At 39.3% G+C, this 22,529-nt stretch overlaps 1 protein-coding gene and 1 pseudogene across 2 annotated transcripts in view, besides 1 other annotated feature; both read left to right on the plus strand.

Annotated features, from left to right (window-relative positions):
* CRYBG1 (crystallin beta-gamma domain containing 1) overlaps positions 1-22,529 on the plus strand; it is a 211,301-nt gene that overhangs the window by 67,899 nt on the left and 120,873 nt on the right. The gene's annotated exons all lie outside the window — the stretch shown is intronic.
* Positions 19,255-19,756: an enhancer, noted in NCBI's record as "H3K27ac hESC enhancer chr6:106895745-106896246 (GRCh37/hg19 assembly coordinates)". NCBI's record gives its function as "activates a minimal SCP1, AML or CMV promoter by ChIP-STARR-seq in naive H9 embryonic stem cells {active_cell/tissue: H9 hESC(naive)}" and the evidence as "EXISTENCE:reporter gene assay evidence [ECO:0000049][PMID:30033119]".
* On the plus strand, positions 20,766-20,882 carry RNA5SP211 (RNA, 5S ribosomal pseudogene 211; annotated as a pseudogene).

Below are 22,529 nucleotides of genomic sequence, written 5' to 3' on the forward strand. Positions count from 1 at the left end.
AAGAATCTTAAAGTCAGAGAGAGAAAGTATCTTGCCTAAGGTGATACAGTTAGACACGGCAGAGTTGGCATTTATGTAAGGTCTTCTGATACCACATCAGATTCTTATTTTACTCTAGGAACACAAAGAAAATATTTGGCATAAGGCAGGTGTTTCAGTCCTTCAGTTCATTGTCATTTCTGTGCATCAAAGCATCACCCCAAATTCTAGCCCAATTTGGCAAAGCTAAGAGGCTGTGAAGGAGCTTTGTGGCAGTAAGAGATCAGGTGTTCTCAGTTGAGGCATCTTCTCCAACTTTTTATCAGATAAACCAGAGTATCCTTTCCCTTGATCTTTTGAGAATGCAAATTGCTCATTGAAGTTCTAGAAACAACCCAAGCTGCTGTTCACTTGGTATTAGAACAACTTCTCTTTATGGAGATTTTTACAGTGTTTTAGACTCCTTGAAATGGATAAAACTAATCTGTAAGGCTGGCAGAGTTGATGACCTGAACATTTTAACCTTTGGCAAAATTATTTTCCTTTCATTTCCTTCTATTTTCCGTCTCTATGTGGAATATATCACCTATTAGCCTTGCTAATCAGGGCTATGCCCTCTCTGAATAATGAAAGGATGACATGTGCTTGAGTAGGGGGAGAGTTGATCTGGATAAATCATTGGAATGAGATGGTTGTGCCTCAGTTCTTCCTTTTATAAAACAAATACTCTTTTAGGGACTATAAAATAAACTAACAAAAGGAAAATGTCCATGCTGTATGTGGGAATTTCTCCCACATCCATATATATATATATAATTCTAGAGGAACTATGTGGCATGAGATGAGACTGGCCAAACACCATAGTTTAAATGCAAAAGGATGCCAAATTGCATACAAAATACTTTAAGTCACTTACTCTAGGCCAAAATATGGCTTTTATTTTTAGCTATTGCTGTGGGATATATTCCTTTCTGAGCATGAAAGTAACCAAATGATGAAACCATTTTATTATTAAAGGTGGAGGCCTTATAGTACAGTAAATAGTTAAACAGCTTTCAGATCACGCCGGACAGGTTCAGATCCCAGCTCCACAACTTCCTGTGGACTGTAGGCCCATTACTTAACCTCTTTTAGTCTCAGTTTCCTCCTCTGCATAAAATGCAAGTAATAACACCTATCTCACAGGTTTGTTGTGAGTATTAAATGAGGTAACAGATGTAAAATGCATACTTAGCACAGTGCTGGGGCTGTAGCAATCACTGGATAAAATGTAGTTATTACTATTAAACTAAAATTGTCAAGGTGCTTAGTACTATTGAGTTGATTCTTTATTTGTCCTCTCCTACTGCCCTGTTCATTTAAAATAGTAAGAGATCAATTCAGAAATATATTACATATTATTTTTAAAAATCCTCTTTGAATATATCCATCATTTCTAAAATATATTTAGATTTCAGGTTTCTCCTAATAAATGCTTAGAACAACTGGATTTTCTATGGATGATTTTCATAAGAAATGACCCAGTATAATATTTTTATTAAAAATTGATTTTAGACTGGGCATGGTGGCTCAGGCTTATAACTCCCAGCACTTTGGGAGGCCAAGGCAGAAGGATCACTTGAGTCCAGGAGTTTGAAACCAGCCTAGGCAACGTAGCGAAACCCCCATCTCTACAAAAAAATTTAAAAATTAGCTGGATGCAGTGGCTCACGCCTGTGATCCCAGCTACTTGGGAGGCTGAGGCTGCAGTAAGCCATGATGGTGCCACTACACTCCAGACTGGGCAACAGAGCAAGAACCTGTCTCAAACAGAAAAAAAAAGAAAGAAAAAGGATTTTAGCACAAGGCTATGTGACTTCAGCCTGCTTCGGTTATCTATTGCTGCATAACATCTACCCCCACATTTGGCGAACTAAAATAATGATTCTTTATTGTTTGTAATGATTCCATGCATCTGGGACTTTCTGAGGTGGGAACGTGTAACATGGCTCCTACAGTCACATGCCTGATGCGTCAGCTAGGGTGGCTTGAATAGTGGCAGCTGGCTGAGCCACTCCACTGGGGTCACATGTATGGGGCCTCAGTTCTTGTTGTCTGTTGGGTTCAAAGTTTCTTCCCATATTATCTCGTGGCCTTTCCCTCTCCATGGGGCGTCTGTAGCCGGGTAGCTGCACCTCTTACAAGCAGCTCAGGAGAGGAAAATAACTATGCTTCAACATGAAGAGCAGCATGCAGTACAGAGAGGGGGCAATTGTCGGAACTGTCTTTGTTTTTGTTTTTGTTTAGAGATGGAGTCTCGCTCTGTCACCCAGGCTGCAGTGCAGTGGCGTGATCTCGGCTCACTGCAACCACCACCTCCCGGGTTCAAGTGATTCTCATGCCTCAGCCTCCCGAGTGGCTGGGACTACAGGTGTGTACCACCATGCCTGGCTAATTTTTGTGTTTTTAGTAGAGATGGGGTTTCACCATGTCAGCCAGGCTGGTCTCAAACTCCTGACCTCAAGTGATCCACCCGCCTCAGCCTCCCAAAGTGCTGGGATTACAGACTTGAGCCACCACACCCGGCGTAGGGACTGTCTTTGGAGGCAAGTTACCACAGCCTCCTAAAAATGAATTCATTTAGTCCTCTGCCATGTAGTCTCCTAAACCCCACTTTGGAATAAACCTCTCTCAAAATAGTCAGCAACCTGCTTAGGTATGATATAAGTACATTCTTAGCTGGACACTTTAATCTTTCATTTAGTGCAGATTCTTTCCTCACACAGTCTTTCTAAACTAAAGCATTTAGATTCTAAGCCATCTTGAGAATGATGTCTGAGTTACACTGTAAGATAAGGAGATAATTCAGCATCACGCGATATACCTTTGGGACAAGCCTGCTCAAGCCCCCCAGTTCTAAAATAAAAGTTGAAAAAAAAATAAGATGAGATTATAAACCTAGATGGGCAAATAACTTGCTTGTTCCAGTTAAACAAATACACCAATCTGAAAAAAAATCACTGTGTTCTGTTTTATTGACTTAATTATTCTACCCGTAGGTGGACAGACTACACTATGAGGGGAGAAAAATACACACAGAAATGGCCACACTGTTTTGTAGTGTGCTATATTTTTGTTATTGAACACCCTAAGTAGTTTGTCATGGGACTTGCCTGCAGAAGTGACAAAGGGGCCCTTTGGAATGTTTCCGTACCCTACAGCACCCACCCTACAGAGGGCCAGCTGGCTCCCTGGGAATTCTATCAAGGCTAACATCTCATATGGGCCCACTCTAGCTTCACAGAACCAGATATCGTCATCAGATGCAAATGACATGATGAATTTGCCACCCACAAGGCTATGTTGACATGGAGGGGTTTCTTTACATTGTTTACTTAGGCATCAGATTATAAGTGCTTGTGGGTAGGACCCTGTTTTAGTGAAAACAATGATCTAAAAACTGATTATGTTCTTAATGACCAGAATATTAATTCTAGCGTGGCAAAAATCATTGCTGTCTTCAAAATGCCTCTTGTCTGTTGAAGCTCTTTGAGAGTGAAATATTCAAATAACGACTCTTAATTGTACCTCATAACCTAGATTCCTTGGGAGATGAATCACTGTCAATGCGAAGAGGAGTTTTCCACCCTTCTTTGTACTTTCATTAATGCTTTCTGCATGACTTTGCTCACTTCAGAAATTTTCAATGGAAGGAGGTCCATCAAGAGAAATTATACAACTTTGTTTGAAACAGTTTGCAATACAATAAGATTATATAGTTTGAAGAAAACCATATTGTACTTCTAACCTGCTCTTCACTCCCTTTCTCATTTCCTCCCTTCTATCCCTTCTCAGACATCTGTTGAGGGCCTTCCATGTGAATTCATTGTCCTACAAGCTGTGGTAGGTACAAAGATGAAAGATGACCCAGTACCTACCCCCCAGGGAGTTAAGTATGTTCCAAGGGAAATCAGTAGGTTATTGCAAGGCTTGAACAATTGAGAGTTAAGGGTGCAAATCTCTAACCGAAACATAGGAGTTATGCTGGTAAGTGTACCTGGGCTCTGCTAAACAGGTGCAAAAAAATGGAGTTCTCTGGTAGACTCTTGGCAATGTGCCCACCACGTGCACCTCCGCCTGTCCTCCTTAACCCTTGATTTGGCCTTTGAGGCCCCTCCATTAAACCCCTGGGCTTTACACATTCTTTGTAAAACATCCTAATATGTCACAAAAATAATCAGATACTATTTTCTTTTTCTTTTCTTTCTTTTTTTTTTTTTTTTTGAGACAGAGTCTCACTCTGTTGCCCAGGCTGGAGTGCAGTGACGCCATCTCGGCTCACTGCAACCTCTGTCTCCTGGGTTCAGGCGATTCTCCTGCCTTAGACTCCTGAGTAGCTGGAACTATAGGCAGGCGCCACCACACCCAGCTAATTGTTCATATTTTTAGTAGAGAAGGGGTTTCACGATGTTAGTCAGGCTGGTCTCAAACTCCTGACCTCATGATCCACCCTCCTCGGCCTCCCAAAGTGCTGGGATTACAGGCAGGAGCCACCATGCCCAGCCGCTATTTTCTGTTCTTACACTAATATTATCGCTCTCTGTTTTTACAAAAAATAAAACAACTCTTATTTTAAACCAGCAAGTCAGGGTTGCTGTGAGGATAAAGAGATAATATACATGAAAGCACTGCTTTTCAAGGTATAAAGTGCTACACAAATATAAGACAATCTTCATACTGTGCACCTCTTCTGGTCAAACTGGAGGAGAAAGGAGACTAGAAGCTGTTTGGAAGTCTGAGAAGTTTGAGCTCTGGTTTCCCTATGCTTTGGGATCTGGGTTGTCAATATGTACTCGTGGGTTATCAGTCCTCCTGGGGTGAATGTTCTATTGATTCCAGTGCCTCCATATTATCTGGGATTTAATTCTTTGACTAGTGTCGCTATAGCAAAAGAGTGGAGTCATTGAAACCTGCTTTAATGGCTGATACTGGAATTGTTATAGTATAGAGGAAAGTCTCCAGTTGGTTTGAAGTTCATGATATTTCTGGGCTTGAGACCTGGGCTAGATCTAATTTACAGTCCATTTGAAGGAAAAGATTGCATCTGACAGTTTTTGTTTGCTTTTAATTGCTAGAAACTGGGAAATATATATATATATATACATATATATGTATATATATATGTGTATATATATATATGTATATATATATAAACATACACACACATACATATACATACATAAATATATATATGCAGTAGTAGTGGCAGAGGTAAAGACACGAATTTTCTATTGCCATGTAACAAATTACCCCAAAATTTAGTGTCTTGAAACAACAAACATTTATTATCTCTCAGTTTGGGCAGATCGGGAATTTAGGAGCAGCTTAGCTGATTGGTTGCAGCTCAGGTTCTCTCTTAGGTTGCCGTCAAGCTGTCAACCAGGACTCTAGTCATCTAAAGGTTTGACTGGGACTGGAAGATCCATTTCCAAGTTCACACATGAGGCTGTTATCAGAAGGCCTCAGTTCCTCAATGGCTATTGGCTGGAGGCCCAGAGCAAATGATATATCAGAGAGAAAGAGAGAGAGAGAGAGAGATTGAGACAGAAAGAGAGAGAAAGAAAGAGAGAGAAAGGAGAAAGAGGGACACACTGTTATTACCTAGTCTTGGAAGTGAGGTATCACCACTTCTGTATAAGAGAGGACACGGGCGTAAATACCAGAAGGTGAGGATCATGTGGGATGTTTTGGAGGATAGCTACAACAGTAGTCAAAAAAATTAAGTAAATTTAAGGATTATTCAGATTTTGAACTGCATTTAAGACTGTGGGCAATTTTTTCCTGTCTTTAAGTTTATCCAGGATTGGATAAACTTGACCTTGAGTTGTAATATAATTATCTGATAATACTGATTAGAGTTTTAGGAGTGCTTATTCCTCTTCAATGAAGGTTATAAAAGTGCAAAAAGAAGAAACTGTGCCAAGCAAGCCTCTAGACTCCTAAAACAGAGGTTGGCAAACTTTCTCTCTAAAGGTCTAGGTAGTAAGTATTTTAGGCACTGTCAGCCACACAGTCTCTATTGCAACTGCTCAACTTTCTCCCATTGTAGCAGTAAAGCAGCCATGGACATGGCTGTATTACAATTGCTGTGTGGCTCTTCCAATAAAACTCTATTTACAAAAACAGGTGGTGTGCCAGAGTTGGCCTGCAGGCCTTAGTGTGCTAAGCCCTGATGTAAAAGAAAAACTAGAGAATAATAAATCAGAAGATTTTATCCTGGATCAGTTTGCAAGGGAAAAGATTTACTTGTAAGTCTCTACCAGTTTCAGTTTATGGATTTGTTGAGTTGTTCTGCAAAATGTGTATGGATAACAAAAAGAGGCTGTAGGGTAAATGAAGAGTTACAGATCACTGAAAAACCAAACAATGAATGGAATCAGCGTGCCCCTTCATTATTTGTTCCCTGTCCCCTGTTTAGGTAGAATAAATGATTTTGAAATGATGCACAACAGGAAACAAAACAAAACAAAGACCTTCTCCTGTTAATTTCTGTGTTCTCCTGTCCCACTCCTCAATCTAGCTGCCAGCACTACAAAGTCATTATTATTATTATTATTTTAGAGACAAGGTCTCCCTCTGTCAACCAGGATGGTGTGATCATAGCTTACTACAGCCTCAAACTCCTCAGCTCAAGCCATCCTCCTCCCACCTCAGCCTCCCAAGTAGCCAGGACTACAGGGGCCGCCACACCTGACTAATGTTTTAAATTTTTGTAGCAATAGGGCCTCACTATGTTGCCCAGGTTGGTCTTGAACTCCTGGGCTGATATGATGCTCCTGCCTTGGCCTCCCAAAGTTCTAGAATTACACACATGAGTCACTGTCCCCAACCTACAAAATTACATTACAATCATTTGTAATGACTGCTTTTTAATTATCTGACAAGTGTCAAAACAGATGTTGGCTGCATCATACAGGGTGAATTTCTCTGCAGTATTGTTTTCCTTGCAAATTTAATTAATTAATTAATTATATTTATTTATTTTTGAGATGGAGTCTCATGCTGTCACTCAGGCTGGAGTGCAGTGGCGTGATCTTAGCCCACTGCAACCTCCACCTCCAGGAGTCTGAGTGATTCTCCCGCCTCAGTCTGCCACCATGCCCAGCTAATTTTTGTATTTTTCGTAGAAATGGGGTTTCACTATGTTGGTCAGGCTGGTCTCTAATTCTTGACCTTAAGCACTTTGGCCTCCCAAAGTGCTGGGATTACAGGTGTGAACCACGGTGCCCAGCCCTTGCAAATTTTAAAAACAAATCGTGTCTTGGAAACCATCCAAGAAAAAATTAGTGAAGTATTCCAAGATCTAGATTGGGAATTATTGACCTAAGAAACTGGGAAAAAGAAATTGAGACTGGCAGGCAAAATCTATGCATTAATATTTTATTAAATTATGTAAAAAGGTCTGTTCCATCATCGGAGTTTTACCTTCTATTACTGCCACTCAAAATCTTTATTTAAGCTTCCCTGAGGAACCTATTAGGAGTTTTAAAACATTTTTATTAAATGTTTTTCTTATTATAAGAGAATGAATGTCAATTTCGGAAAATACAGAAAGAACAGAAATCAGTCCTGATCCAACTAGCCAGAGAATTCCTGTTCAGATTTTAGTGTATTTCCTTTCAGTATGCTCTTAGATATGTAACATCGTTGACATGCAATCTCTTTTTTTTTTTTTTTTTTTTTGAGACGGAGTCTCGCTCTGTTGCCTAGGCTGGAGTGCAGCGGCGCGATCTCGGCCCACTGCAGGCTCCGCCTCCCGGGTTCACTCCATTCTCCTGCCTCAGCCTCCCGAGTTGCTGGGACTACAGGCGCCGCCACCTCGCCCTACTGTTTTGTAATTTTAGTAGAGACGGGGTTTCACCGTGTTAGCCAGGATGGTCTCGATCTCCTGACCTCGTGATCCACCCACCTTGGCCTCCCAAAGTGCTGAGATTAAGGCGTGAGCCAACGCGCCCGGCCGCAATCTTATTCTACTTTTCTACTTACCATTATATCACAAGCTTTGCCCCCATGACTTAAAGGATAAATGGCATTCCATAATATGGACATGCAATAATTTACTTAGTCATTACCTGAATGGGTTTTTTGCAAATTTTGTTATCATAAATAATATTACCATAAGCATATTATAAATAGATCTTTGAATGCTTTGAAAATTATTTCCTTCAAATCATTTCCTAAAAGTAGAGTTATAGGGGATAGGTATAGTAGCATTTTAAGTCTCTTGATAAGTATGAATAAATTGCTTACTAAAAGACTGTAGCAATTAATATAACCCCCCCCACCCCCGAGTAGTATGTTAAACCATTGGACATTATCAATTTTAAAATTGTATCCCAAGCCAGGTGTAGTGGTGCACACCTGTAGTCCCAACTACTTGGGAGGCTGAGGCACAAGATTCGTTTGAGACTGCAGTGTACTATAATTGCACCTATGAATAGCCACAGCACTCCAGCCTAGGCAACAGAGAGACCCACTTCTCTAAAAACAAAACAAATAAAATTGTATCCTATTGTTACTTTAATTTGCATATAGGGAAGTTGAAGTTGGGAAAATATTTTCATTAACCCTTTATTTCTTCAAATGCTTTATTTTTTTCATTTCCCTTGTTCATCTCATTGGGTTTGCTAATATTTTTCTTATATATTTATATGGTTTCTTTAGCATGGCTCTTAACTAATCATCAGGTATATTTGCTGAAAGTATTTTCTTGGCTTGTTATTGCCTTTAATTTTTTAATGTATGGAAATTTTTATTTTTGCATAGTAAAACTACCAATATTTTTCTTCTTCTTTTCTTTTTCTTCTTCTTTTTTTAAGAGATAGCATCTCACTCTGTCACCCAGGCTGCTGGAGTACAGAGGTACAATGTTTGCTCACTGTAACCTCAAATTCCTGGGGTCAAGCAATCCTCCTGCCCCAGCCTCCTGAGTAGCTAGGACTACTGGCAAGCTCCATCACACTCAGCTGATTTTTGTTTGTTTCGTAGAAACAGGGTGTTGCTATGTTGCCCAGGCCGGTTTTGAACTCTTGGGCTCAATTGATCCTCCTGCCTTGGCCTCCCAAAGTCCTAGGATTACAGGCATGAGCTACTGCACCTAGCCTTTCTTTTTTATTTCTCTCATTGCTTTTAATCGTAGGAAGTTGTTTTCCTTCCCTTCTAATATGCCATAATACGCTCCTAATCTTTATGATTTGATGTTTCTGCATTTAATTCTTTAGCCACCAGGAATTATCTTTGATATGGTATAACTTGGCTGGGATTTAAAGGAATGGACGATATAGAGATACACAGTTCTCTTTAGCTCAGAGATTCTCTCTCAGTACTTCTTGATTTTATTTCAAGGTTTCTTAGTTCCTGAGACAGCACCTTTTTATGTTGGGACTTTTGGTGTCTTTGGAGTGCCTGGATGACTTTAAAGGGCATGTACATCTTTTTATTTATCTTTCTTCCTTCCACAGGGCTTAGTAGAGTGCTTTACTAAGAGACAGCCCATTCTACACCTCCCTGGAAGAGACTGGCACATGCCAAGCCTCATTTAAAAACTACTCTGAAGGCCAGCGTCCCTAAAAAGATCTCTTCCTCTGAGTTATTACTGATGCCAGAAATACCTGTTATTTCATCTCTGTGTTAAACGTTGCCCTCTCCTCAAGCTGTCTTTTAGAATGCACATTCACGTTGGGGTAGCGTGGTATATTAGTTTCCTGGGGTAGCTATAACAAGTTGCCGTAAACATGGTCACTTAACAGTTTTTTCTCTCTCACAGTCTGGGGGCTAGAAGTCCAAAATCAAAGTTTCAGCAGGACCGTGCTCCTTCTGAAGGCTCTAGGGAAGGATCCCTCCTTGCTCTTCCTAGCTTCCCATGGCTGCTGGCAATCCTTGGTGTTCTCGTTGGCTTCCCACTGCGTCACTCCAGTCTCCTCCTGCATTGTCACAGGCGTGTGGCTCTGTCTATAAGCAAATAGTAAATCCATAATCCATATGTGTTTGCTTTCCCATAACATGCTTACATTTTAAGCAGAGAATCAAAGTTTTTGCATGGTATTTCTTCGGTTGATCAATATCTTCCTTTTTCTACTAGTAAAACAGATAAACTATTGATAGGAAAGTGAGAGGACAAAATGAATAATCCATTGGAATGATTCATGTAATGGTTTGATGTCAAATATTTTCGGTTTTCAAAAATAAATGAGTTAATAGTAATTGCAGTTATGTGATTTTCTCATATTTAAAGTCTAGTAGCATAAATTGTAACTGTTAAATTTGGTAACAAGAGAAAAATATGGTCAGGTGCAGTGGCTCATGCCCGTAATCCCAAAATTTTGGGAGGCTGAGGTGGGAGGATCACCTGACCCCAGGAGTTTGAAACCAGCCTGGGAAACATAGTGAGACCTGGTATCAATTTACTTAAAAAATGAAAAAAAAAAAAAAAAGAGAAAAATATTTTGAGTGGTTCCCAAGTGAGGAAAACCTAAGATTTTCTTCTTTTAAAGAAAAAAACGGATGACAGATTGGGAAATTAATTTTGCTAATAAAATATTTTGATCCTTTTCAGTAAAAAGCAACTATCAAAGCTGGGAAAAATACCAATAGCCTTTATTCTTCCCTTTTAAACAATGTGTGAAATAGAAAATTTTAATAAAATTTAATTATCTCCTTTTTAATTTTATGAATTTCTCATTTTTAGAAGCATCTTTATATGTCCTACCATTATTCAGTTTATAAAAAATAAGTTTGTTTCCTTTTTGAATTATTGTTAATATTCTTTAAAATTTGGTACAAAGACAATATGAAGATATTTTAACTGAAGAATATGAATACAGTGGTTCTTTGTGTTAGATTGTGCCCAATTTTCACAAAGTGAAAGTTTCTACCTTCGTCTTGACTGCAGGAATAAAAATCTCCTGTGAGCAGAGATTGTTGACTCAAGAGTCCTCATCATTCTACCTGATGAGATAACACTCCCTAATTTAAAATATTGTTAAACAAAATAAATATTTTCTTGGGACAGAATGCTTTGTGGTTTAGTGACTCAACTCTCTCTGTACTGGAAGCCTCAACCAGTGGCACAAGAAAAAAACTTGTTTTGTATCATCCCTGACTGAAAAAAAAAAAGCATTTGTTTTATACCCACTGAGTACAGGTTATAGAGACAGAAGGTGATATGGTTCTTAGCTCCTAAAAAGCCTATGATTAAATTGAGAAACTGATATATGTTCCCGGAAAACCTAGATGAACACTTACTAAATAGTACTAGGTGCAACTATATGAAATTGCCATATTTGACTGGTTTTGACCTACAAAAATGGTATTTCATAATGTTGAACCTCGAAGTTCAAAACCACTTACTTTCTCTCCCCTGCATTATGCACATCCTTCAGTTCTCTGTGTCAAGAGCTGTACAAGAAGCCTGTGTTAAGCCTGGCAGTCCCAGCACCCAGCCCAGGGAAGACGTGGGGCTGGTGGCTTTCCCCTTCCAGGGCTGTGCACCTGCTGTGCTGCCTCTCTTCTTCTGCCCTCTACTCTCCCTCAGCTACATTATTTCCACATATAGAATTTTCCTTCCTTTAAAGCACATCCTCACCTTATTTGAAGCACTTTCCTTTCTTCCTCTCTCTCTCTCTCTCTCTCTCTCTTTTTTTTTCTTTTGAGACAGAGTCTCTCTCTGTCACCCAGGCTGGAGTGCAGTGGCATGATCTTGGCTCACTGCAACCTCCACCTCCTGGGTTCAAGCAAGTCTTCTGCCTCAACCTCCCAAGTAGCTGGGACTGTAGGCGCACACCACCATGCCCAGCTAATTTTTGTATTTTTTTGGTAGAGGCAGGGTTTCACTATGTTGCCCAGGCTGGTCTCGAACCCCTGATCTCAAGCGATCCACCTGCCTCAGCCTCCCAAAGTGCTGGGATTACAGGTGTGAGCCACTGCACCCGGCCCCTTTCTTTTTTTCTTTCCATTCTTTGTTTCCCCTTTCATTCCATTATTAATCACTATCACTCAGTTGATGGCTGTAAAGCCTAAAAGTAAAGCTAGTGATGCATTTGTGTGACGGAAAGGGAAAAACCATGAATCTTGATGTGAAATTAGAAATAATAATCATCAACATGTGGTAACAACAAAAGCTCTGTAAAGTCATGTTACAGCCTGTGAAAAATTCTCCACCCACCATCTCTTTCTGATGAAACTGATGTTTCTCAATAATCCCTATTCTTAAAAAGAGAATAATCTACACTTGAGAAAAATAGACACTATTTCTCACACCATTTTATTGCTTTCTTTTTCTTTTTAAAAACTAGTATTGAAACAATTCTGTGATTTATAACGATGTCCTTTTCTTTTTGCTGTAGTGTAATATTTCAGCTACATGAAATTGACTTTTAGGGGCTTATGAAACAGGATTTATTACAATCAGGGAAATCTTGGAGGAAGTGAATTTTGAAATTAGACTTGATGGAATTTGATAGCCAAAGATTACAAAGAGGAGAGGCAAAAGCATTAATAGAAAACCCAAGCAAAGACATATAAATAATGAAGCAAGTTGTATGTATGGGAAGGGCAAACAAATCTGTCTGACCACAGCTGGAAGTCTGAGGTGGAGGGAGGGGAGAAGGAGGTTAGAGTGGTATTGGAACACCCTTAGGGTGGGAATTTGAAGCTGACATTTGGAGCTTGTGACTAGCATCTTTGCAAGGACAACTTTATTTGGATAGATGGAGAGCAGGGATACTGTGATAATCTCTTTTTCCCTCTGCTTGCCTCTGCACCTTAGAGAATTTCTATTCATGAGAGCTGAGGTGATAAATATCAGTCCATCTCAGATTCAGCTTCACAGCCATTCTATTGTCTTCAGTCAGCAAAACTGTATCCCTGACGTGTTGCTAATACATAAAGATTTTTCATGAGAAATGATTTTAAATTAGAGTTCTCTTTTGAAACATTAACACCAGTTAATTGAACTAATTCATTAGGTATTTGATGACAATTCTAGTCGCTACATAAGGATATGTCTAGGAAGCCTTAAAGCAGCTTTGGTCCCTTGTGGAGTTTACCTACCTGGTGCAGGTGAGTGAGAGAAGCCAAAGATATGATTCAGACAATTATGAATTATGTACTAATTACTGATCATTTTGTATTAATCACCAGACAACTAGCAGGTGCTTGGAAATTGAGTAAGTGGAACACGATGAAACTGACAGTTATAAAAATTAATGTAAAAAATGAACCTCCATAAGAATTATTTTGAAAAACTAAAAAATATAAGGAAATCTCTCTCATATTGAAAATGATTTTTTTAGTTTTATATTATTATCAAAAGGCATTTACTATAAGCACCATATTATGTGTAGGAATGTTTTAGAGGTCTTGCAAGTAACCTTTAAAGACTCAATTCTTATAAAGATTTATAGACCACCATATAAAAGAATATATTGAATAGAGCCTTGAAACCTCTGAATTATAGCTGTGAGAAAGTTGAGAGTATATGATCTATAAGAAAAGTAGGTGTTTGTGAGTTCAGAAAATACAATAAATGCTAAAAAATGTTTGATACAAGGAAGAGTTACACAATTTCTCTTGAAACTTTATTGCTTCTGGAAATGCCATGAAGTAATGATGATTGCGGCAGTGTAAGTGCCATCAAAGCTCAGGATTGATGAAGATAATTATTTGAGTGCCTGGAAGGATTAACTAAGGCAGACGAGTTTCGTGCCAGGTTGTTTAGGGACCCCAGAGTTTAAGAGACTCTTACTAATTGTTGCTGGCATGAGTTTTGGACTAGAGAGCTAAGGTGGGGCAAAGGTAAACAAAATAGGCAGATGATGCATATTAAAGATGCTATAAAGTTAACTTCAAAGTGTGTGCCATCACCACAGACTTCTGGAAAATAATAACCAACAGACCAGTTTTGCATGTAACTATCGTGGTTAGGAGGAGGTGCTTTTGAACCAAAGCTTTATATTGACATTATTTGAAACAGTCATAAACAGCAACAGGCTCTGCAAGCAGCTGCTATCTTCATGAATCAAACCACCTTTGCAGAAAGCGCTTTGTATTCACTCAGCCAGCAAACTCTTACAGAGCATCTGTGATGTGACAGATGTTATTATATGCCACGGCAGAAACAAAGGGACTCATACCCAGGAGCCCCTTAAAGAGATGAGATGAGAGAAAGAGCCATCAGTGATAAGTAAGCTAAAATATAACAAAATTGCCTGGAATATAGGGTGTGTAGGGGAGCTACATTTGAAAAGTTAGACTGGGTCCAGAAGGTGAAAGCACTTGAATACCAGACAATGAAGTTAGGGCTTTATTCTGTAGACAGTGCTGAGCTATCTGTTGGTTTTCAAACCAGACAGTACATCAGGAAGATCAATCTATTTGTAAAGTTAGAATAGGTTAAAGGCTGCAGGAGACACTCAGTAGCAGAGAATAACTGGAATCTTACTAAACTGAAGACATAATGAAGTTTAGAAGTAGGATAGTAGTGGTTGGAATGCACAAGAGTAGATGGATGTCATACTGGTGAGGTGGAAGAAACAGTTTTCTTGTATTTATAACTGCCTCCCTGTCACTTCTTCCTCTAAAAGATTTACAGTAGTTTGCATCCAATTGACAATGCAAATAAATACAGATCAGAACACTAAAAGAATGATAGTGTGATAAGAGAAACAATTACTTTACAGAAACACACATTCATAATGTTTTATATAATTGTTAAAATTGATTCATGATCAAGTACATGGACCTCATTGTCTAAAAGACAAGGAGTGAAAAAGAGAAAAGCTTTTCTTGGCATTTCAGAATGAGAGAAATCTTTCCCTTCAGTCTCCATATAAAGGATATTAAGTAAGATGGTACCTAACATCCTTCTTGGCATCCCTGCAATAGGTCCAACCAAGAGTTCTACGTGGCTGCATCTTATAGTGTCCCTCAAAGCAAGTTCAAATGCGATGACAAAGGACCCCTTGATGAGTGATCAGAGGTGGATTGATTGGAGCAGGAGGGCTCAAAGATGACTCCTCAGAGTTGCCCCTGGTACTTTAGGACTATTTCTCTACCCTTGTGCCTATAACCACATAATTTTTTTTTCATTTTTAGTTTTTGTGGGTACATAGTAAGTGTATATATTTATAGAATACATGAGATATTTTGATACAGGCATATAATGTGTAATAATTGCATCAGGGTAAATGGGGTATCTTTCACCTCAAGCATTTATCCTTCCTTTGTGTTACAAACAATCCAATTATTTTCTTTTAGTTATTTTTTAATGTACAATAAAGTAGTGTTGACTGTAGTCACCCTGTTGTGCTATGAAATACTAGATCTTATTCATTCTATCTAACTGTATTTTTGTATCCATTAATATAACCATATTCTGCCAGGCTTTTTCCTCCTTGCCTGCTCCATGGTAATATCACCAGAAGCTTTGTTTGGTGCTACAAAGGCTAACAATTGAAAATACCCTCTTTTGCATTATTAATTTGTTATTCATGAGCTTAGTAAGATCATTAGTCTTTCTTTGGGGAGTATTGACACTGTCAAAATAAAAGCTACATTTTCTCTTCTCTGCCATTAGATGATAAGAATTTGAATTGCCTTAAAAGGAAAATTCCAGCAATCAAAAAAATCTTCTTTTGTATTTCGACAACTGAAAACAAAACTTGTCCAACTTGACTCTTATAAAGAGAAGCTGAAAAAAATGCCATGACCTTCAGCTTCTCTAAATCAGAGCATGTGCAATCACGCGTGAAACACAATACTCTTGATAAAACCGAGCCGTTCCTTGAGGCACAGACCTCGGTTCCTCAGTTCTCCTGGGGATTTGCACAATTCTCCTGGTTGTTTGGTCCTCGGCCTTGGCTTCTCTTTGCTTGTGCCCAGAATGAAATCATTTCTTCCTCTGGGACCAATGCTAATAAAGCCAAACCTTGTGGAACCTAGCCTGGTTCTGGGCGAGTTTCATGGTTCGTTAATCATGTGGAGTGATCCGAAATCATCAAAATCAACATACTAGTGGTCCTGAGATATTTTGCTTAACTTTCACAGACTCGGTAGCACCCAAAGCCTCGATTTCACAAGATAGAAGTATTAAGGCAAACATTTCCAGCCTTTGTTGGAGAGATGATTTGCATTCCACTGGTCAGGTGTGAGGGGGAACTTAAACATTTCTGCACCACACAGCATATTGGGAGATGGCTCCCAGCCTTCAGGCTGCCATTTTGAAAGACTTGGTGGCTCACACCTGTAATCCTGGCACTTTGGGAGGCTGAGGCAAGACAATCATTTGAGACCAGGAGTTCAAAACCAGCTTAGGCAACATAGTGAGACCCCGTCTTTACAAAAACCAACAAAACAAACAAACAAACAGACAAACAAAAACCATCAAAGTGCCCAGGAAGGTGAATGCAATCAGGAAGTAGAGGCTGACTGGACAAAAAAGGATGAGTAGAGGAGTGATATTCTTGTGCAACCACTAGATGGCAGAGTTTCTGCATTCTATTACCATTGGCAACAAGAAATACTTGGGTTAGTGGTGTAGCATCCTTTACATACCTGTAACTTTGAGGATGCTTTGTATTTTAAAAACTCGAATGAGCATAGCAAATTATTTTCATTTCCCCATCCAACTTGGAATTTTGTGATCGTGAAACTCATCTACTGAGAATTTAAAATTAGTCTCTGAGTGAGGAGTTGGGTGGGTTCTCTACTCCTAACTCTGTCATTAGCCGTGTGACTTTGAACAATGAATATCTCTGGGCCTCAATGAACTCATCTGAAAAATGGTATGGTTGGGTCACTAGATTATCTCTAAGGGATCTTCCAACCCAGACATTCTCCTTTCATATCTGAGCCTGATAAATATGCTAGCTCAAAGTACCATCTATATAATTCCTTATAAATTATTATTCAGGACATGTCAACTGACATTCATATGCATAATTACAATAGCTGATACTTATTGAGAACCTACTATATGGCAGTACTAGGCTAAGCATTTTACAAGTTTTACCTAATTTAATTCTCTTAACAATTTATCACTCCCATTTTGCAGATGAAGAAACTGAGGCTTAAAGAAGTAACTAGCTCAAGATCATATAGCTAATGGCCAGGCTGGTATGACTCTGAAATCTGTGTGTATACATTGCTATATTTGATCCTTTATTCAGCTGAGAAAAAATACAAATTTGAAGACAACACTGCTTCTGAAGGAAAAACCCATTCTGTAAATCCAAAATTCTAGGTTTTCCAAGGGAAATAGATTGTGGGGTTTTGTTTTATTTCTGGAGATGGGAGAGATTTACATGGCTCTATCCTCACACTGTCATTAGATGCCTCTTTGTGAGCCTGGGCTTCCAGTACCATGTACATGGGTAACCAGCAGGCACAACACTGTCAGTCAGTCACATGGTTTCTGAGGAACAATGTCTCTTCAAATCTGCAATAAAGTGACTGAACCAGGTAATCACCAGGGACTTTTTCAGGTCTAGCATTATCTGATGGTATGTGTCCGTAATCTAATACAGGGTCTAATGTTAGCAGGAAAGAGGTTGCTCAGTAAATGGTTGCTCTCTACCATTTAGCAGTTGCAGTAAAGAAACACCATGCACACTATTAGTGCCATTTGTTAGTGAATTAAGTTTTCTCCTTCCTTTGTGGCCAGAAAACTTATGCATGTTACAACCAATGCCTTAATTCAGAAGAGTGGTTCTAGTATCTGGTGTCTTAGGTTCCCTTGAGGAAATAATTCAATTCAATGCAGGTGGAAGCACTTTTTGGTAACTTTGAAATCACAACTCTGAGGCTCAGTTGAACACAGTAATAATTCTTTGGATAGACAATAGATGGCAGTACAGCATCAATTTATAACTTATAAACTATAGTTAAACCTAAACTTTTATGCTACATTTTATTATTTTGGATGTACATTACTATAAAACAAGAATTATTAAAAAACTTATTTAACTTGCCTTATATTAGGCTACACATATTTAAATGCTTAAGGAACAACTTGGTGGTGTAGACCAACATTAGGAAAACTCGAACTAGATTTATCAGGGCCACTTTCAAGGGCTTTGGAGAGGCCCTAGCACTGTCAATCTTGAGAAAGTAAGAGATTCTCTTTTCTTTTTATTAAAGAGGCCCGCCCCCTTCTTATATAAGCTTTAGGTCTCACAATTCTGGGATTTGTCTGAGAATAGCCATGCGGCTCTTTTAACTTGGGAAAGGGAAAACAGTCTTGCCGTTATTAATTTTGCTACCAACTTAATCTCCAGGGAGAGGGGCAATCTGGTTTTTTAAAGTAAGCCAAATAAAAAGGAAACATAATTGAATGAATTGGCAAATGTTCCACTTACTTCTAAGTCTGAGTAAAATCAAGTACCATACTTAACACTGAAACTTTCACTCTGGCAGTATAACATCTGTGCTAAAAAGAAAAGGGAGGTACAAAGGAGTATAATTAGCAAGTTAATAAATTATCCTCTGCTAAGACTGCAGACCAATATGATAGCATTTGGCGGTTGTTTTATGTTATTTACCCAAGAGGTTATTGTCGTTAATAAATGACCAGTTGTGACTATTCACAAAGGAAACTGTGCTTCCATTGGCACATAAATTTCTCATCAGGGAGCCAAGCTTAGCCTCTGTTATGACCACCTACACCCTACTCATCAGGAGTAAAACTAAAATTAACCCTTTGGGTACAAAAATAATAGAAAGAATGAATAAGACTCAGTATTTGATGGCACAACAGGGTGACTATAGTGATAATAATGTAATTGTACACTTAAAAATAACTAAAAGAATATAATTGGATTGTTTGTAACACAAAAGATAAATGCTTGAGGGGATGGATGCCCCATTCTTGATGATGTGATTATTACACTTTGAATGCTTGTACCTCATGTACCTCATAAATATATATATATATATATATATATATCTACTATGTACCCACAAAAATTAAAATAATAATAATGAAAACATTACCCTTTGGAAAAGAAAAGTTAACAAACTTTCCAATTGGTCTTTCCTGTTGCAAACATTTATTAAGGTTGGCTTTTAGGCTAGGGAGACTTATCTATGTGTAGTTCCAGAGGTAACCATTATTCGGAATTGAAAATATTTCTGCCCATTCGATAAGCCCCTATGTCTACTAGACCTTAATATCCTTGAGGGCAGGGAGTGGAATTGTTCACCTTTGTGTGCTTTGATATATGACATGTCATGGAAGATCTAGAAAATGCTGAAAGAATGAATGCTAGATAGTGTTACAAAGTTGCTTTAGGTCTTAGAGACCTCTTGGCACGATTTCAAGTGTATTATTTCTGTGTAATACATTGTGAAGGTTGTGTTTCAGGAGACAAACTTGTCCAGTAAGCTTGCTAGGAGTAGAAGGCCTGTGACTGACTCTAGAGAGGAAGTAGAACATGCTCCTGGGACGGCCTGAGTTTCCGGGGCTGGGCAAGAAGCTGCCCTGAAGCAGAGTTCTGTTTGCGAAGCCCACTCAGCCCACACATCCTGTGACCTTGCCTCACCTCCAACCAAGTCCTGGAGCAAACTGTGAAATCATGGCGTCCATGGCCAGGTGCACAGCAGCACTGTCTGGATCTGGGTCACGAGGAAAGGGAATTTAGCCAACACCCCATCATTCTCCTCCTCTCAAGGGGAAGCAGAGGTTATTGGGTATACCACACACACTCAGCAGTTCCTGTTTTAGAATGATGGTGAAGCAAGGGCCGTCCCTGGAACTGTCTGTGATAGTCCTCACCTCCTCTAGCCACTGAAAAACTAAGCCTTCCCCCAGGGCCATGTGTACCCTCCCATCTGGGAGATCATGACCCCAAGTATAGAGAACTGACTCTTGGATAGCACACTGTGTCGACTTAGTTTATCCCCCAAATCAGGAGAGCAGGCAGGTTCACAGGGTTCAACACGCTACAAGGCCCAAATTATGAAAGTTCCTACTCTGGTAGCTCAAATTCCATCTTAAATATGTGTCATCTCTACCTCTCCCAAAGTGTAGCAAGTGTGGGGAACATATTTCAAGACAAAGCTAGGGAGAGGATAGAATGCACATCGACATCCATTTCTACCCTCTCCCTTCTCCTTTTTTCCTAATTGAACCTCAGCTTCTTCAGGTGTCTAATTTCTGCACAGTAGTGTCCTTCAGGTCTCAGCCTCAAAGGGTTGGGTCCAGTGATCGGTTTAGTGCAGGTATGAAAAGAAGCCTGCTAGGTGGCTTCTAGAGGAGATTTCCCCCACTTCTAAGCAAGTTACACAGGAAGGAATTATCATACCTCTATGTGACAGCTAGAAATGTAGCAGTGACTAAATTCAGTAGCAAAGGAATACACTAGTTAAACCAACTCAGTCTACCCCTTTTGTTTTATATGTGATAATATATTTTGTTTTTTATCAGGCTTCTGTGAGTTGGACTGTTATTTCCAGGCAAAAGGATCCTATGTTTTAAGCAGGGATTGTATCACAAGCAAAATACATAGAAAAGGCTACACTTGCCAGCTTTTAATTATGTAATACGTAAGTATCTAGGAAGAAGAGATAGGTCTTTTTTGGAGTGCCCGTCTCCGACAATACAAAGCTTAGGAAGCACAGGTAGATTGCTTTTATCTCTCTTGTCACTTGGAGTCAGTCAATGGGCACATATGTTTTTCCAAAAAGGAAAACTATTAAGGGGAGCAGACTGCCTAACATTTGTGGTTGACTTTTCACAATGTGTAAGTCTAATCTATGGCCACACCACCCTAAATGCACCTGATCTTGTCTGATGTCAGAAGCTAAGCAGGGTCGGGCCTGGTTAGTACTTGAATGGCTGACAATGTGTAAGTCCACAGCAGTTGGAATAAGCTTTCAAGTCCTAGGAGTCTTCTCTTGTTTGCTACTTCTTTGGCATATTTGTGAGCAGAAGGACAAGGTGAACACTAACTTAGGGTACTGGAACAATTAATAAAAATAGGTCTTGATGTAAGACACATTCATGGTAAGACGATGACAGCATTTCAACTTTAAGGTATTTTTCAGTTGTTACTTAAATTCTCCTGAGCTATATGTGTTTCTCTTTCCCTTCAAAAATACTGTATTTAAATTCCTAAGAAGATATTAGCCTCACAGGTAGAAATGTATTTTTATATGTGTTTATATATGGCATAATATATTGTCTTTACTGTACACAAGTATTACTTTCATAGTATGAAACTAAAGGAAAAACAAAAAGAAATATATTGCTGCTAATGTACCTTTACATTTTATATAATGCAAACAATAGTGACTTTTTAAAAAAGTATGTACAGGGGCCAGGCACAGTGGCTCACGCCTGTAATCCCGGCACTTTGGGAGGCTGAGGCAGGTGGCTCACTTAAGGTCAGGAGTTCGAGATTAGCCTGGCTAACATGGTGAAACCCTGTCTCCAATAAAAATACAAAAAAATTAGCTGGGTGTGGTGGCACATGCCTGTAATCCCAGCTGCTGAGGCAGGAGCATCACTTGAACCCGGGAGGTGGAGGTTGCAGTGAGCTGAGATCATGCCACTGCACTCCAGCCTGGTGACAGAGTGAGACTCTGTCTCAAAAAAAAAAAAAAAAAAGTACACAATAGAGTTCCACAAATTATGCCCATCTATATCTCCCTTGCTGATATTACCATATTGATTAGATCTTCCTGCCCTTCTAAAGTGTTAACACTTTGCTCTATTCCTCTTTATATCCTTGCAACATTGTAGAAATCCCACAAAAGCTTCCGTTTCTGTTGCGAAATGCTGAGGTCTTGCATTTTTAGTTCTCTTTCTACTTTACTGGCATTCTTCATTCAAAGCTGTCATTCTGCTCTGGCATCTTTATTCCTGTGCTTACAAAATCTACCAAACCTTGGATCAGGTATGATGCTCAACTGCAGACAGCAAGGAACACCCAAGTCAAAATGGCTTGAAGAATAGGACGTTTATTATCTAACACAACAAGAACTCCAGAGATAGGTAATTCTGCTTCTCATTTCAAGAAATCAAGAGATAGGTATTTCCTCTCTGCTTTTTCCTCAATCTAGTCTCCTTAGGCTAATCCTGCACATGGTCCCAAGATGTTCTATCATATTCATCACATGCAGGCATGACACTGGCCTGCAGGAAAGGGAAACTTTCTCTTCTTGTAGAAGACCTTTTCCCCCATTTCTTCAGCAGACGCCTCTCACATCCCATTGGTCAGGACTGGGCCAGAGAAGCAGGGCAAAGTATGAACATTTTAGAGGGTCAGGGAGACATCAATCAATGTGGTAACATAAGCAAGACAGTTACATATGGGCATTTGCCTAAATCAGTTACTGGTGAGGGAAACTGGACACCAGGGTTAGAGCAATCCCGACTGACTACTGGGGCTGGGAGCAGCTTTCTCTGAGGCATATGGAGGATGAATTGCTGAACAAATTTAGGATTATTAGCAAAGGCAGTGTGTATGGGGGAGGTGGGAGAACAGTGAAGGGTTGGATAAAGGGAATGGCTTTGG

Source organism: Homo sapiens, chromosome 6 (assembly GCF_000001405.40).
Source record: "Homo sapiens chromosome 6, GRCh38.p14 Primary Assembly".
Classification (NCBI taxonomy): domain Eukaryota; kingdom Metazoa; phylum Chordata; class Mammalia; order Primates; family Hominidae; genus Homo; species Homo sapiens.